Raw genomic sequence first — 18,325 nt, 5'->3', positions numbered from 1 at the left:
ACACACACACACACATACACACACACAACTACCAAAAGCAAAACCAAACACTTAAAACTCCTTAGCCTGCACATCTACCAGTCAAGGGGCAGATGACAAAGCTTACAAACACATACTTTATTGAACTGAAAATGAATTTTTGCCATAAGCGATTTAAAAATAAAAAGCACATGCTTTTACTTGAAATATGCCACCATTAATAGAATGTTTCCTCTAACAAAACAGCATACAAAATCTCAGATTAATAAAGGTGTTTACAGCATAAGCTTAATACCTCTCATATAAACAAAGTCATGCTGAGACATCAACAAACAGCATAATAGGCAGCTATTTAAAACAGTAACCATGAGTACTAATATATGGAAATGCTTATAATGTAATAATATAAGGGGAAAAGTATATCTAATGTGATATCTCTGCATAAAAGATTACACATAATCATGAGAACAGAAAATAATTAACAAGTGAAAAATACTGGACTTGTTAGGATCACATAATTCTGGGCTATTTTCTTTTTATCAGTTACTATTAATCTAAGATTATCTGTGTCTAAAAAGATGTAAAATAACCAATTACTTAGTCATTTATATTAGGCTTATATGGACTGAAACTTTTACTTGTGAAAGACTAGAGCTATGTGTAAACTGTGACATTAACCTGTTTTGTTACAACATGGTTCAACTTCTGAGAGGACAGTATACACTAATCAATAAGAGATTTTAAGCAAAGAACTACGAATATGCCTTTGGTTGTGATTTACTCGGATTCTATGAGAGCCATATGTATGTCCATGCATAAATACACACTTATATGTGCATTATGTTAAAATTTAGCCATCGTTAACGTGAATCCCACATTTCCAGAATTGTTCTTACAACTTTTTTTAAATGGTATCCATGAAAATATGTTCACAGAACTTTAAGTCCCAGCTACAACTACATTTTTAACTGGAATGATACAAATGTGTTCCTCAGTCTTGGTTGGCACTATATTTTGGTCCAATGAGTGGATAAAATTACATGGTTGGGCACTACAAGGTTTCTAATCTCAGCAAAGCAACTTTGTATGACCTGAAGCAAAACACTATCCTTGTTTCCTTCCTCGAAAAATGCTTCTTTTCAAATAAGAATATAAGCACACTATGTATTAGTTTCCCTTAAATGTTAGTAAATGAGCACCATTGATGGTAAGAAAAAGTAACATCTTTCATGCTGTCATATTTGGTGGAACGTTAAAATAATATAATTTTAAAGATCTAGCCTTGCCTTAGTCTTGCTTTAGCAAATATATCAAAAAATGATGACATAACAATATGACATGAATATTTGTTTTTTAAAATTGCCTCTTGCATCCCTGTGTATTTGTGTCAACCTCCAAAATGGTATTAGTGAAAGTTAATGCCAAAGGTTTGATATTGTATCAGAAAGCGCAGGAAGCCACAGCATTCTAAGAAATGCTTGAATTACAGGTATTCAAATAATTGTTTTTTTAACCAAAAAGTGCTTCACTAATGATGCAAAAAGATATTAAATTATAGAATACCTTTAAGTGAAGTAGATTTAGTTAAAAATATTATGAGAATCAAAAAGGATTAACTGGCCGGGCGCGGTGGCTCACGCCTGTAATCCCAGCACTTTGGGAGGCCGAGGCGGGCGGATCACGAGGTCAGGAGATCGAGACCATCCTGGCTAACACGGTGAAACCCCGTCTCTACTAAAAATACAAAAAATTAGCCGGGCGTGGTAGCGGGCGCCTGTAGTCCCAGCTACTCGGGAGGCTGAGGCAGGAGAATGGCGTGAACCCGGGAGGCGGAGCTTGCAGTGAGCCGAGATCGCGCCACTGCACTCCAGCCTGGGCGACAGAGAGAGACTCCGTCTCAAAAAAAAAAAAAAAAAAAAAAAAAAAAAGGATTAACTGTAAATTTCTAAGTCAATAGAAGCTGATGTGTGACAGAAACCTTTAAACTGACAACTTTGTCATGATGAAGCCTCTTTTCTGAGGTTGTCTGGATGCCATCTCTGCAAGTTAATATCTCTGCCTAAGGACTCTTCTAACCATATTTTTAAAATAAAGCCTGGTTCTCTATCCTTCAAAACTAAAATCCTCTCTGTTTCATGATTATCTATAACTCCATCCTCTTTATTTATTACCCTATCATGTGTGATTTAGTCTCTGTTTAACTCACTTGCCTCCAACCTTGAACATAAAATATATTCACTTAAGGATACTGATGTCTTTTTCTTGTTTTCAGTACCCACTATTTTTCTCGGCCCTGCCTTCCTGTTTTCTTTTTCCTGCTAGGCAACTATAAAAGCCCCAATTCTTCTAACCTTGCACCCTGCCTGTAACTCCATCTCTCTCTCTTACTTTCTCCATTGGTTAGCTGAAAGAGTAGGAGTAAGCACTCTGTAAGTCTCTTCAGATCATCATCATCACCATCCAAGAGGGCACCCATAAATCGATGATACAAAATTATACAGGAACAGGATGCCCAATATGTTCAGTGTTTTTTTTCTTTTCAAATTTAGGATGATAATAGATGATTTTAAAAGAGAATGACCAGAACTCTCAAAATGAAAATCCTTCATTTTTATTTAGGAGGAAATGCTGGGTAATATCTGCCCTGAACTTAACCTTTCAAACATTTTTACACTGTTTATTAACAGTTGGCCAATTGGAAAGAGTACTTTCATAAGTATTCTTCAAAGAACTGGAGCAAAATAACAACAGTCCTTTGCACCAAAATTCAATCTATGTCAGTTAAAAAAAAACAACAACCTGATACTCTAAATTTAAAGGTATAAAATTAGCACATGCTGATTAACTACATTGTCTAGCTGATAGTCAAAATCTGTTCCTAGTGGTAATGAATAACAAAAATAGAAGGCAAACATAAGAAGAAATAATATATAGGCACATTATTCAAAAATAAGATGAAATACTTAGCTTTAAAGTAAAAAGCACTAGATTCCCTTGTTTGAAATCTAAACAAACTAGATTTCCTTATTTGTCATTCTTTTTCTCAACTTTTCCCCAAACAAAAACAACTCTGCCAGCCACAGGGTTTTGATACTTCAATTGTTTTCTTATCAAAAAAAATTAAGTAATAATCGAGTCATTGAAATGGTTTGTTTTATATTTTAGCGTTTAAATCCCATGTGATTTAATGAATTTCGGTGGAGGTGAATTCACCGATTTCATATACCTCTGAGAAAATAATACTTTTGAGGAGCTAGTATTACGAGATCATTTCTACTTTAGTATCTTACCTAAATGACACATTTTGTGCTTCTTAATTAAAAGGACAAGCATAAAGTATTCTATATACAGTAAGTTTTTCTACCTTCCACCAAATATTGAATCTTTAATAAGTCGATGTAGTCACATTAGGAAGTGATGCTGTTTTACTTGCTGAAGCAGTCAACAAGAACAAAATGAACTTATAATGAGTCTTTTAAAAATTTTTAATTAGTCCCTCATATGAAAATTATATCTTACCTTGGCAAACATACTGTCCATTTACCTTTAAGTTCAGATCATCACAGTTAATAAGCTCCCTAAAGTATGATGACAAACAGTGCCTAATACCACTTGCCCATTTGCCTTCACAAGAAGGCAGGGGTCTGCATCTCATATAATTACTCTAGAACCTCAGGTTATAAATAAACAATTACACATGATTTCTAGCCAAAGTTTTATTTAAGTAAGTATAACAATAAAGTATTCTGGCAATATCTCTATAGTACAGTAAAGGCAGGAATTACGAGTCTAAACATGGAGTGGTGTTTCTTTTTTCTCTTCTTTCACCCTTTTTAAAACATTTTTATTATTCATTTATTTATGTTTTATAGAGAGAGAGGGTCTTGCTATGTTGCTCAGGCTGGTTTTGAACTTCCAGACTCAAGCGATCCTCCCACTTTGGTCTCCCAAAGTGTTAGGATTACAGGCATGAGCCACTGTGCCCGGCCTTCTTTCACTCCTATACTCTTTGTTGTTGTTGAACACTCACTGTGGTATAGACTACAACATCCTGGATTCAAATTCCAATTTGCAACAATTAGTGGTGTGGCTTTAGATAACCTCTCTCATCTTCTTTTTCCTCATCTACAAATTGGGGGCAATATCTTGACAGATTTTTGTGAAGGTTAAATGAGATAATATATATGAGAGATACTGTGGGATAGCTGGCATGTAGTAGATGATTTGTAAATGTTAATTTATCCTTGAATCCTCCATTGAAAAATATGAACAGATAACATTTTTTTCTTGGTTCTTTCTTTCTTTCTTTCTTTCTTTCTTTCTTTCTTTCTTTCTCTTTCTCTCTCTTTCTTTCTTTCTTTCTTTCTTTCTCTTTCTCTCTTTCTCTCTTTCTCTCTTTCTCTCTTTCTCTCTTTCTTTCTTTCTTTCTTTCTTTCAGACAGGGTCTTGCTCTGTTGCCCAGGCTGGAGTGCAGTGGCACAATCTTGGCTCACTACAATTCCACCTCCCAGGTTCAAGCGATTCTCATGTCTCAGCCTTCTGAGTAGCTGGGATTACAGGCATGCACCACCATACCCAGCTAATTTTTGTGTTTTTGGTAGAGACGAGGTTCCACCATGTTGGCCAGGCTGGTCTCAAACTCTTGGCCTCGAGCAATCCACCTGCCTTGGCCTCCCAAAGTGCTGGGATTACAGGCATAAGCCACTGCATCTGGCCTTTGGCTATTAATTTGTCATCTCTACATTATTGTATCATTAATTCCCCAGCACCTAGTAACCTTTCTGGCATCCAGAGGTGCCCAAATACATGATGAATAAACTGAATTTATGTAATCTGTTTCTACTATTGCTGTTCTCTCTGGCTATTTCTAAAAGCACTGTAAGCATACTGGCTAGCTATTCCCCATATTGCCACCATGGTTGGCATTTCACCAATAGAGAGTTATGAATTTGGATAAAATACAACTCTTTCTAGGCATTTGTTTTTAAAATTCAAAAGCTTTTAGGAATGGTAATCATCTGGTTATTATGTGTCACTAATGCTTCATTGAAAATTAGTTTACAATTGCTTTTCTCTAAAACAGGTGCTGCTTTTAGCTGTAGAAGGCCCCTGGATACCCAAGAAAGATGGGCCAAAGGAAGAGGTTCTAGAAGTTTAAAGAAATACCTCCTAAGTCAAGTGCCAAGCACACAGATGTTTAATGTATATTATCTTGTTTAATTCTTACAAATCCTTGAGGGGAGTATGACTATTCCCACTTCACACATGAGGAAACTTGGTTTACAGAGAGGTTAAGAGACTTGCTCAAGGTGACAAACAGAAAGTAATTATATGGAATTCACCCCAGACTTATCTCAAAGTTCAGGTCCTTCCGTCCCAGTAGTATGCTCCTAGAAGGACACCAAAAGAGATGTGAAGGATGCTGAGGGGTACTTGCCTGCCTCATAGTTTTGCCTGGTGCTGGTCTTTTGCCATTAAAAAAAGTCACCAAAAACATAGTCCCTACTAGACTATGAGTTTAAAGACAGAGACTAGGTCTTACTCATCTTTGGAGACTTGGTATCTAATACAACGATGGGTGGAATGGGGTGATGCCTCAAGTCTTTTTATTAAAACAAATTTATTCTTATTCTCAGATCCTTTCAGTTTGTTTATCTAATACTATATAGCTCTGGTATTTACAAGATTTGCCTTCTTTCTATCAAATGTTCTTCTCTTTTACTTTCCAACTGGCTTAGTTCAGACAAAAGTGATAACATACTTAGACTGTGATGCACTAAAATAAGTAAAACATAAGGATCTTTAAACACAGCATAAACACAGCATGCCGTCAGTTTTCAGATGGTATAGGTTCAGCACTGCATTTTAGATTAGTGAGATATCAGATGATGACCTTGTTAGAAGCCATTTCTGTCCATCTCTAAAATCTTCTCCCCTAATACTATTCTTTGTCTTCCAGTGAATACCCCTAGGACATTGTGAGATGCATGTGTGTACCAAAAACTGGAAAACCCAAAATAACCAGGAACAGGCAGTCCTCAACATAGTGGCATCAGAGGTCAGAGGCGGGGAAGGATGTGCAGGATGAGCTGAGCTGCCCCCACCTGACATCCTGCCCCTATTACACAGGAGCAGAGACCTCCCTCTCACACCCAGGCTTTCTGGCTATACTGTCATAATATGTTTTAATCTTGAGAGCATGATTCTATATTCAAAGAATATATTTAAAACAGACTTTACCAGTTGGATAGATAAGGGTATAGAGCTTTTCTAATTTTTATATGGATAAATTTTCTCCTAAGACTATTCAAAGGATCCCCTTTTCTTTACTCCCACAGCCTCCCTAATATTCTCAATTTATATGAATGTAATCTCCGTAGCTGTTGGTTTAAGGCCATAATTTGTAAGTCTCTCTTACTATCTTTTAAAATAGTCCCTTTAGTTTTATGTCTACAGGCTTTAAATTTTGATTTTTCAATAGCAACTTGACAAGATTAATGAGCTGAAAATATATTTAACTGATATATCTTTTTTCTACTTTCAACAGAAAAATTCAAATTCAAGTTAATAAAACCCAAGTTACACCCATAAGTAATCCAAAAGAAAGTAGACATGAGTCTCAAAATTTTTTATACAACAGCTTCCTATAATATATTGAGATACAATTAAAGTGGCCTCAAGTACATTTTCCTGGAGAAGTTGACTCATGTTACACACAGTTGGCAATATACACTAAGGTTGTGATCTGACCAACACTCCAAAGTATGTGGGGGTGTGTGTGTGCACAAATATACATACACACATATACAGATACGTATACCTACCTAATTCTGAGCATATATTTTACAATGCTTGATAATTCATTTCCTTTCAAAAAATCTATTTATAATTTTAAATGTTGCTTTACTTATCACTACTTTGAGATCCTTCCAAAGAACATTTCTTGTTTCATCTTTGTATCCATCATGCACAGTAGGTACTTAATAATAAATGTTTGTTGAAGAAGACCTTGGATAAGATATAGCAAACAACCTAATACAGAGAATGTTACCTAAAAAATATAACCTGAAAGAAACTATGGGGAATAATCACTGGCAGACTTTCTAAATTTACAAAATAAATTTAAAACAATCCCAGTAAATATTACTAGGATAAATCAAAAAAACTCTTTGGAGATTGTGAGACTTGGTTTCTAAGTTTGTTGCAGATTTTACAGCAGTTCAGTGGTTTTGTGCACTTAAAAATTATGGCATGAAAATAAAAACAAAAAAAGCAAGCCCCTAAAAGAAATGAAATTTAAAATATGTCAGAACAAGAAAAGTTGGTTGCCTATGTGTTGTTTTTAAATATTAAATATATAATGTCATTTCTATTGCTACTTTAAAATTTTTTTAATAAAAGTATTGGACCTGGCCAACAGGTATCAAATGACTATTTTCTCAGAATAACATATATTGTTTAAAATTTACCTACAAAAACAACAGTCACAAGTTAACAACTTTGCAATAAAATTTACCTCGCTGGAACTGGTAGTTTGGGGCAGAGAACAGAAGATTTTGGAGATGTAGTGTATTCAGAAGGCTTTAGGTTGTAGCTACATAGGGCTGAACCTGTTGAAAGAAAAATTATGTTAGGTGGCAGAACAGTCTGAAAAAATTCTCTTACTATTCATTTTAATTTTGTATTATTCAACATATGCAACTTTCCAAACATTATAGAATTCATAAAAATCTGATTTGATCCATATTATAAGTCCTCAATCATTTAAAACTGATTCTTCTCTAAAATTACTATTAATGTAATTCATGTACAAATTTTAATTAATATTAAAGGTAATAACAATAAGTACTAGAACTACCTTTATTGAGTGTCAGGTTCTCTGCAAGATGACATTTATGCATTATACAATTTACTATAATTCTGTAAGGCAGGTATTATTAAGCCTACTTTAAAGAGAAGGAAATAGAGGCTAAGAGATAAGGTAAATAACTTGCCTAAGAACACAGAGCTAGTAGGAGTAGAACTGGGATTAAACACCACATCTCTTTCACTACAAAGCCTGTGCTCAGCTACACATTATGCCTGTTTTTCCTATGCTTTCAATTACTAAATGCTTACAATTAATGCATATAACACATGTAAATTCAGATAATACATTACTTATTTAAAAAGCAGGAAACATTCCTAACTGTAAATAAACTGAAAAAATTGATAAAACTGATAAATTGATAAAAGTGATTCCTAGTTTTCAGAGTTTAAGACAGCTTAAATTCAACTTTAGATTGGCTATGCAAAAAAAAATTAATTTTTCTGATTATATGGCCAACACATATCTAATATATGTAAAATGTACACAATGTAAAATTTACATAATACATTTATGTGTTATATAATTTACTATAACTCTATAAAGCTGGTATATACATTGATTTCCTTAGTATAGATAATTGAGATGGATAAAGTCCACTAAATCCAATATACATCTTATTTTCCTGATCCGTTAATTTTAAAATACAGCAACTAGAATACTGGAAGGTTCATTGTATAATATATTGTTAAGTGAGGAGACCCAGGCTCCAGTTCTAATTTTGCTGCATTTCATCACATAAACTGTTTATATTTGATTAACTGAGGTTCGTACCAGATTACTAATTTGGTCAAATACTTTATTATTAAATAAACAGAATAGCTTTGCATTTGTATTATGAAGATACTGAACTTTTATATTGTACCACCATGGAAAAATCTTAAAATATAATGTGAACAGCAGACTGCAACACTGAGTTAATTATGGAAAAGGCATGTGACCATATGAGAAGGAACTGGAAGGGAACATAGAAAAAAGAATATAGCTTGATTTAATGGCACAACAAAATTGGGAGCAAATTTATTTCATTTATATCTTGTCCTATCAATCAAAATAATTTTTAGAAAGGCACAAACCACCATTTAATTTAGCAATGCTGCCCCAAACCAGCAAAAAACCTAAGTGATTAAATATGTGAGCCTTAATAGCATACTGAAATGAGTGCATGTAGCATATATTTTATATAATGATAATCTGAGTAATCTGACAATGCAAAATATTTTTAAAGCGATAATTACAAGTTACATGGCACTGTTCTTCAAGCTTTTTAAGCTTAAGGTAGGCTCAATAAGAAACTAAGTTTTAAAAATTGTGCTTGACTATTCTTTTCCATTTTAATGATCTATTTTTTAAAAAGCTAAGCATGAATATTAAATATTTAACTCTTCTAAGAGTACTGTCTTTCATACTTGAATATAATGCCACTAGATTACATTTATAGCAATTTTGCAGAAAACATGACAATAATGGCAAACAAACATTTTAGACTAATCCTGAAATAGCTAGGAGTCCTAGTACAGAATTGCTCATGAAAAATAGCAACTGCGCCAATAAGTGCAGAGGACCCAATGTGATTATCAACTTCCTGATCTGAATTGTCAACTTATTTCTTTCAGAGTCCAAGATGGAATCGATTTGCACAAAACAAAAGGCCCTAACTAAAGCACTTTGTGTCAGTGCTGGCAAATACACTGCTTCATCTGAATTCAGTTAGCATAATCTCTATCCCCACCCCTTCTTCATTTAAAAAAGGAGGTCAGCAGGTGCAATGGAGTTCAATTTTATAAATACTTTCCCAGGATAATACTCAATGAAAGGATAATAGCCTTATCTCTGATGGTATTCTAGGACACAGGCCAGTACTAAATAGATCCTGTACTAAATGGATTAAAGGAAAAAGATCTTTACAATGTGTTAGTAGTAATAATCATAAGAAACCTTATACTGCTTCCTGCTCAAAGGGTTGATGAACAGAGAAGCCTCAATGAAGAACATTAAAACAATGCAGTAACAGCAAACATTTTACAACTGTTTTTCTTTTCATGTTCATTAGCTAAGGCATTTTCAGTTAACATTTTGAAGGTAGTATGTGTTTTTTTTTTTTTTTTCAGTGAAAGTATAAAAAATACTTAGCACAAGAGGTTTGGATATAACCAGTAAGACAAAGTTTTCCTTCTAATGCAAAAGCAGGTAAAAGTTATACATGAGTAATGAAAAGTAGAAAACTAAGAACAAAAGCTTATCTAAAGCACACCAGAGGCAATCCATGCAACTCAGCCGATGTTACTCAAAGACTACCAAAATGAGTGATCTTAGGAACCTAACTTTAGTGTATAAACATTTATCATGGTAAATGGTTGCTATGGCCCCCAAAATGTTTAACTACTACAATTTTTCAAATGCTGTATAATAGTCAATTATTTAGTCTTAATTTATTATTCTTTAGCTCAGTATCAGTTATATCAACTCCCCTAAGAGGTATGTTTCCATCACCACACTCCAAACATTACAGATGAAAAAAAAAGTAATATTTCCAAGGCCTTAAACACAATCACTGGCATATTTAGAAGTGGAATTCTTTGCCCCTTAAGCTGCCATGCTTCCTTTGTGCCATTGCTAATACTCATAATTGGGCAAGTATTCAATAAACTCCTGGGCCAAAAAACATACGTTCTACAGATACCTCAAAAAGAACATCTTTGGAGAAAAATTAGTTCCACCAGGTACTTTCTGATTTTATATTTTCTGTCCTGGCTAATGGTTCCAACATCCGTGAAACATACAAGTTATCCTACATTTTTTTATCTACTGTTTTCCTATACCATTCAAGAGATACTACATCCTGACATTAGACCTTCCTATGTTATCTCAGACCTTCATGACCTCCTACTGTGTCAGTTAAAATACTGTAAAGTGTTTCTCATCTCCATTCTGCATATAACCATCAGAATGGTCTTTGTACAATGCAGATTAGTCATATCATATCTCTATCCTCAGGATGAAGTCCAAATATCCTGGATTCAAGGTCCTCCTAAAGCAGGTCTCTACCTAAAACTCCAGACTCATCTCAACATAATAAACAACATACAATCAATGCTTGCTGTTTAACAAGCTTCCAGGCTTTCACACATGCTGTTCCCTCTGCTTGCGCTGTCCTTTCCCAGCTAGCACCTGAGTGTTGACGTCTGAGCAGAATTTCTACACACTACTCAAACTTCATCTCTTCTGTCAAGCCTTCTCTGACCAACCCAACAAAGCTATTTACTACTTAGCTCTATGATAAAACATGGCATATTCTTTTGTAATTTTTTGTTTATATATCATCTCTATTTTTATAATGCAAACTCTTTGAGAACTCGAACCTTATGCCTTTGAAATGTCTGGAACCTATATTTCCTGATACATAGATGTCATCCAAAGCCTTCTGTTGAATAAAACAGATATCCTGAGTGGAGAAAAAATGAAATAACTGTTTTTAATATCTTATGTTTTGGTGTTATATGTTATATACAATGTTCGGATGCTTTTCACCATTTGCTACAAATATACTACCTAAAACAACATTCCTCAATCTTGGTATTACGACATTTTGTGCTGGACAATTCTTGGTTGTAGGGGGCTGTCCTGTGCATTGCAAGATGTTTAGCAACATCCCTGGCCTCTATCCACAAGATTCCAGTAGCCTCCCCCTAAGCTCTCACCCAGTGTGACAGCCAAAAATGTCTCCAGACATTGCCAATTATCTTTGAGGAGGCAAAAGCACTTTTAATTGTGAACCAATGGTTTAAAACATCACATTATTTGAAATAAAGATACAAAACAAAGAGTTTCTATGCTGGGGGCTAATTTTTCTTGCTTTAAAATTTTGTTTAATTTACCACCACAATATTTGCAGGATAGATTAAAATTAAGGAAAAATATTCCTTAAAATATGATTTAAAAATTTGCAATTAATAAGAAAGTCTCTCAATGCAGAACAGTTTTTATTATGAAAGATTTCCATTGCCTTGTGATGTCTAATGAATTTAACCTCTTTTTCACTAATTAAGAAACACTACATGCTGGGAGAATGGAAGATAATTTTCCAATTTTAATTCCTAGTAACCCATGAAAAATATGGACATATTTGCAATTCCCAAGAAGCATCCACCTACAGAAATTAGCCAGGTAAGAATGTGGCATCGTCTGTCAACCACTGTTGGCACACACTAGGCACACATAATAAATATTTGCTGAGTGAATTAATTTTGAACATCTATGTACAAGACTTCTACTAGGTGTTGTGGAGGAAAAGGAGAATTCTGACTCAACTATACTGCAAACTCCTTAAATGTGGGGACTGTACTTTGTATCTGATGCATACTTAATGGGTACTAAGTATTTGTTGAATGAAAGAATTAGTTTAAACTGCATTATCAAATGTAAGGATCTTCCTTCTTTTTAAACAACCAAGCATCATTGCTGATCTCTGACTTGGAGACAATTAATTCGGTTGCTAGAGTTGATCATTTCATTCATTTATAAATGATATCAAGTCAAATCTTTTGACTTACTGTGCTAAAAAGAATACATAATTACTCTGGGGTTTAAATTTTATTCATACTGACTGGTAAGAAAAAGGGTAATATACTGATCATCTATTGATACTGATTAATCTAACAACCAGATAACAATAATCAAAAAGACTTATTAGTATTCACAATTAGCATTATCTGAATAGATCACATAATCTGTTAAAGTTTTTAATGGCTAAACAGTAATCATTAAGAAAACACAAGCTTCATGGCTCTACTCAAAATGTGAACATTATCTCAAGGGCAGATTATAAAGCTCTCAAATTTTTTTTCAAAATATAGTACATTGAAGAAGCACTCATAAATGGGAGTGCTTTTTCCACATACTATAAATGGGAGGCAAACAAAAGGAAAATAAGATTTCTGCCAGACTTTACTACTGTGTTAGGGAAGATAAAACATGTATTATAAAACACTTTGATAAGAATAATGGAAACGGTAATAAAAATTCCATGTGAACTATTAGCACTGAGAATCTATAGTCAGCCCCTAACTTACTCACAGGTTATGTTCATTTCTATTTATTTATATATATATATTTTTTTTTTTTTAGAGACAAGGATCTTGCTATGTTGCCCAGGCTGGCCTTGAACTCCTGAGCTCAAGTGATCCTCCCGCCTTGGCCTCTCAGTAGGCTGGGAATACAGGCACGCATCACTACACTTGGAAGATTGTGCTCATTTCTAAACTGCCATTTAGAACTTAGATAGCAAGTGCAAAAATCAAAACAATACGCAAAGCATCTGGTGCAGTCCATGGCATACAATAGCTACCAATAAATGGTATGTTGAAACAAAACTCAGGGCTTACGTCTGATGTTTCTATTCCAATTCAGATGCCCATGCTGAACAATGGGGACAGTGGAGTGAAGTGAAGGGTGGTCTATGGACCAGAGATGCTGCGTCAGAATTAGAGTGGGGAGAGAGAAAGGAGAAGAACTGTCTGAGCAGGCATTGTCTTCCCCTTCCCTTCACCACCTGTCTTGGTATGGCTGGGCTGAGATGAAAGCTGAAGGAGGGAGATTCTCCTCTCCCACTACAATGTACATAGTTCCCTCTGATCCATGGGAATACATTCCAAGACCCCTCGGTGGATGCCCGAAGCTGTGGATAGTACCAAACCCTCTATATGCTATGTCTTTTTGATCTGATAACTGATAGGGCTACTAAGAGACTAACTGGTGGGTAGCATACACAGTGTGGATATGCTGGACAAAGGGATGATCTGTATCTGGGTGGGATGGGGCAGGTCCGTGCAAGATTTCATCATGCTACTAAGCAAAGTGCACAATGTAAAACTTATGAATTATTTTTGGAATTTTCCATTAAATATTTTCAGACTGCAATTGACCATGGATAACTGAAATTGAACAGTAAAACTATGGATAAGGGAGAACTACCGTATGTGTTATTTGAATTTTCAAAAATAATTATAATAAGGAGGAAAGTAGCCTGTTCATCAGACTGAAGAGAAGGAAAGTGAAAGTAAGATGGAATTCATGCCCTGCTGAAAATAAGAACTCAGATGAGAGCATTCACCAGATGGTTTCAGTTTTCTCTGTAGGGCATAAGTTTTGGAAAGAGTACAAACAAGAGGGCTTAAGAGAAGAAGAGATATGAATAATCACTTGGATAGTATGTATAAGGGAGATAAATGAATGAATAAAATGAGTTATTTAGAGATGAATAAAAATAACTGATTTTACAGAAATACTGGTTAGACTGGAGAACAATTTACCTGCTGGTGTCAACTCACACAGATACAGAATTGAGGATAAAGTGTTCTGTGAGAATGAGAAATTATTAAGTGGCAATAGAATAGAACAGGGAAATCCAGCCCATCATTCTTTCAAAAAACATTTATGGATATCTACTTATCTACTGCGTGAGCCTCTATATTAGGGCCTGGATATTCCTAGATGAATAGAGCATGAGCTTGCCCCTAGGAAATTCATACACAACTGCAAGAAGTATGATACTGAGTCCTTATGGTATTTGGCAACTTCAATTTTTTAAAGGCAATTTTTAAACTGTTTTCTTCTCTAGCATTATGTATTTATAATATTTGTGTTATATGAATTATGAACCATAAAAATAAATGCACATTTGTACCCCACGACCCAACTCATGTACTAGCATTCACAGTTCTTTTATTATTATTATTATTTTCTTTTTCTTTTTTTTTTTTTTTTGAGACGAAGTTTCGTTCTTGTTGCCCAGGCTGGAGTGCAGTGGCACGATCTCAGCTCAGTGCAACCTCCACCTCCCAGGTTCAAGCAATTCTCCTATCTCAGCCTCCCAAGTAGCTGGGACTACAGGCACATGCCACCATGCCCAGCTAATTTTTGTAGTTTTAGTAGAGATGAGGTTTCACCATGTTGGCCAGGCTGGTCTTGAACTCCTGACCTCAGGTGATCCACCCACCTTGGCCACCCAAAGTGCTGGGATTATAGGTGTGAGCCATGCGCCTGGCCAGCCCTCACATTTTTATATTTGTCTGTCTGCCTTTAAAAGCCTTTGTAATATGACAGCATCTCCACAATACCAATCTAATTTCCAGCTATTTCTTCCAAACTGTCTATTGTAGTCATACTTGACAGGGGCATTCCACAAACTCTAAGTGCCCAAGAAAACAACTCCTTTTTCTTGTTTAAAAGAAACAAAGATTTGAGGAAATAATTTATTTGCCTAGTAAATAGATTTCTTACAACCACCACCATAGGAACTGAGAGCTTCTTCCCCTTTAATTTCTAGAGGTAATAAAATTTCATGTGAATGGATGGTTGTAAGTGCTAAAAAGTACTTTCAAATGTTGTCATGGAAACTTAAAATTCTTTGAAAAGCATTTATATTATCTTCTCATTCTAGTAAGAAACATGTTATATTGCCTTGCATCTTAAAATAAGGTATAAAATTAGCACTTAAACTGTTACTACCTCAAGTGGGACTCTTTCATGAACTTAATAAAAATTATGATAAAATAAAGGCAACATAAAATTACTATCTTAATCATTTGTAAGTGTACAGTGCAGTGACATTAAGTTCATTCAAACTGTTGTGCAAGAATCACCACCATCCATCTCCAGAACTCTCTTCATCTTACAAAACTAAAACTCTTCACCCATTAGACAATATTCCCCTTCCACTCTCCCTGCCACCCTGGCAACTATCATTCTACTTTCTGTCTATATAAATTTGACTACTCCAGGGTGGAATCATACAGTATTTGTCCTTTTGTGACTGGATTACTTCACTTCGCATAATGTCCTCAAGGTTCATCCATGTTATAGCATGTGTCAGAATTTATTTTCCTATTTCTTATTGTGGTAAAAAATGCATAACATATAATTGACTGTCTTAACCATTTTTAAGTGTACAGTACAGCACTATTAACTATATGCATATTGTGGTACAACAGATTTTTAGAACTTTTTCATCTTGTAAATCTGAAACTCTAGTCATTGAACCACAACTCCCTTTTTCCCTCTCCTTCAGTTCCTGGCAACCACACTTCTACTTTTTGTTTCATGTAAGTGGAATTATGCAGTCTCTTTATGACTGACTTATTTGACTTAGCATAGTGTCCTCAATTTTCATGCAAGTTGTAGCATATGACATTCTTTCCTCCTTTTTTAAGGCTAAAATAATATTCCATTGCATGTATTCACCACATTTTCTTTGTTTTTGTTTGTTTTTGAGGTTTTTTTGAGACAGGGTCTCACTCTGTCACCCAGGCTAGAGTGCAGTGGCATAATCTCAGCTCACTGCAACCTCCTGGGCTCAAGCGATCCTCCTGCCCCAGCCTCCTCAGTAGCTGGGACTACAAGTGCATGCCACCATGCCTGGGTAATTTTACTTTTTATAGAGACGAGATCTCACTACGTTGTGCAGGCTGGTCTTGAACTCCTGAACTCAAGTGATCTTCCTGCCTCAGTTTCCCAAAGTTCTGGGACTACAGGTGTGAGCCACCACGACTGGCAGTTCACCATATTTTCTTTATCCATTTATTGGTCTACCGACATTAGGTTGCTTCCACCTCTTGGCTATTGTGAATAATGCTACAATGAACATGATTGTGCAAATATCTCTTTAAGATCCTATTTTGAATTCTTTTGGATATATTCTCAGAAGTGGGACTGCTGTATCATATGCTAATTTTATCTTTAATTTTTTGAGGAACCTCCATACTATTTTCCATAGCAGCTGCACTGTTTTACATTCCCATCAACGGTACACAAAGGTTCCGATTCTCTACATCCTCACCAACACTTGTGTGATTTTCAGTGTTTTTTTTTTATAGTAGATCTTCAGATAGTCTAGATATTAACTGCTTACCAGATATCTGATTTATAAATATCTTCTATGGGTTGACTTTTCACTCTGTTGATTTTTGTCCTTTGATGTACAGTTTTTAATTGATGTAATCCAACTTATGTATTTTTTCTTTTGTTGCCTGTGCTTTTGGTGCAATTTGGTACCATCCAAGAAATTATTGCCAAATGCAATGCCACGCAGCTTTCTGCTACATTTTCTTCTAAGAGTTTTTGCAGTTTTAGCTCTTACATTTAGGCTCTTTCATGGACCTTTAACTAGCCCCTCTTACTGATTTGAAAATTTCCCACTTAAGTTTGAATTATATATTAAAGATATTCCTCTCTGAAATTAATGATTGAGGTCTATATATTTGAGGCTAAAGGGTCTGTGTATTTTCTAACAGAAATATGCTGTAACAACATGCAGACATAGATTCTAATAAAAATTATTTGCTACTCTTGAATCAACTTGCACCTCAAATGATTGAGAGGATAACTGAATGGCCAGGTATCTGGCTCATACCTGCAATCCCAGCACTTTGAGAGGCCGAGGAGGGAGGATCGCTTAAGGCTAGGAGTTTGACACCAGCCTAGACAACACAGCAATACCTCACTGCCATATAAGTAAAAAAATTATCTGGGCATGGTGACACATGCCTGTAGTCCCAGCTACTCAGGAGGCTGAAGCAGGAGAACCACTTGAGCCCAGAAGTACAAGGCTGCAATGAATCATGATTGTGCCACTGTACTACAGCCTAGACCACTGCACTTCAGCCTGTCTCTTAAGCAGGAAGAAAAAGAAAAAAACCAGATAACTTAAAAAGACAAAAGAAGGAAAAATAATGCAAAAAGCAGAGAAATAATTTTCTCAGTGATAAGGATAATATTGGAATTAAATCTTATTACCAGGTCTAGTTTTAAGTCACCAATTTAAACAGCAGGATAGGTTCTTTTGAGAAATTCAGAAATTTCAACTTAGGGTTGCTACTCAAATAAGGTATTTAGGCCTCTATACAAAAGGCTCTCTCTCTGATATAATTTTACAGCTTTTCTATTTGCCTGTTAAAATTTTGTCTTCTCTATCCTCCATTGTTGTGCTTCTGGATGCTGTCATTTTTTATGGCTACCTTATTGACTTACTATTCATACAGCTGGCACAAAACCCTAATGGTGCCTTTGTAGCTAGGCACCAATTTAAGAAGTCTGTTTGCTGAAATAATGTTTATTCATTAATACATCTTGAGCACCTACTTTGTGCAAGACACAGTGAGAAATACAAAGCTGTAAAACCCACCAGGAGGGTCTTCTTAACTAGACCTGAACAGGCCACAGTCAGTATCATATTCACTTAGAAGGATACCAGCCTGGAAACAAAGCATACCAGCAGGGGACCATAGGGCATCTCTCCTCCAGTGAACATCTCAGCAGGCCACACCGCCAATAAGGACCTAGTTCTCTTCTAGCCCTCCAGATGACAGCTCAGGTTCAAGGGACCAAGACTCACATCCAGTGGGTTTTTTGAGAAGATATATTGGAAGACAGTTCAAGACTAGATCATAGCTTTGAATGATAGCATAAGACATACAGACTTTT

The 18,325-nt window shown here is 35.3% G+C and overlaps 1 protein-coding gene across 8 annotated transcripts in view, besides 1 other annotated feature; it reads right to left on the bottom strand.

Moving 5' to 3' along the window:
- The window catches only part of SLC44A1 (solute carrier family 44 member 1), a 193,854-nt gene that overhangs the window by 82,558 nt on the left and 92,971 nt on the right, over nucleotides 1-18,325 (bottom strand). For all 8 annotated transcript variants that reach the window (NM_001330731.2, NM_080546.5, NM_001286730.2 and 5 more), the window contains one exon: nucleotides 7,496-7,589. In NM_001330731.2, the coding sequence (NP_001317660.1) occupies nucleotides 7,496-7,589 (94 nt within the window). The remainder of the gene's footprint in view (nucleotides 1-7,495; nucleotides 7,590-18,325) is intronic.
- Nucleotides 13,832-13,941: an enhancer, noted in NCBI's record as "active region_28738". NCBI's record gives its function as "activates an Ori minimal core promoter by ATAC-STARR-seq in GM12878 lymphoblastoid cells {active_cell/tissue: GM12878}" and the evidence as "EXISTENCE:reporter gene assay evidence [ECO:0000049][PMID:35858748]".

Source organism: Homo sapiens, chromosome 9, assembly GCF_000001405.40.
Source record: "Homo sapiens chromosome 9, GRCh38.p14 Primary Assembly".
NCBI classification, from domain to species: Eukaryota; Metazoa; Chordata; class Mammalia; order Primates; family Hominidae; genus Homo; species Homo sapiens.
This window is presented reverse-complemented; position numbering and strand designations above follow the sequence as displayed.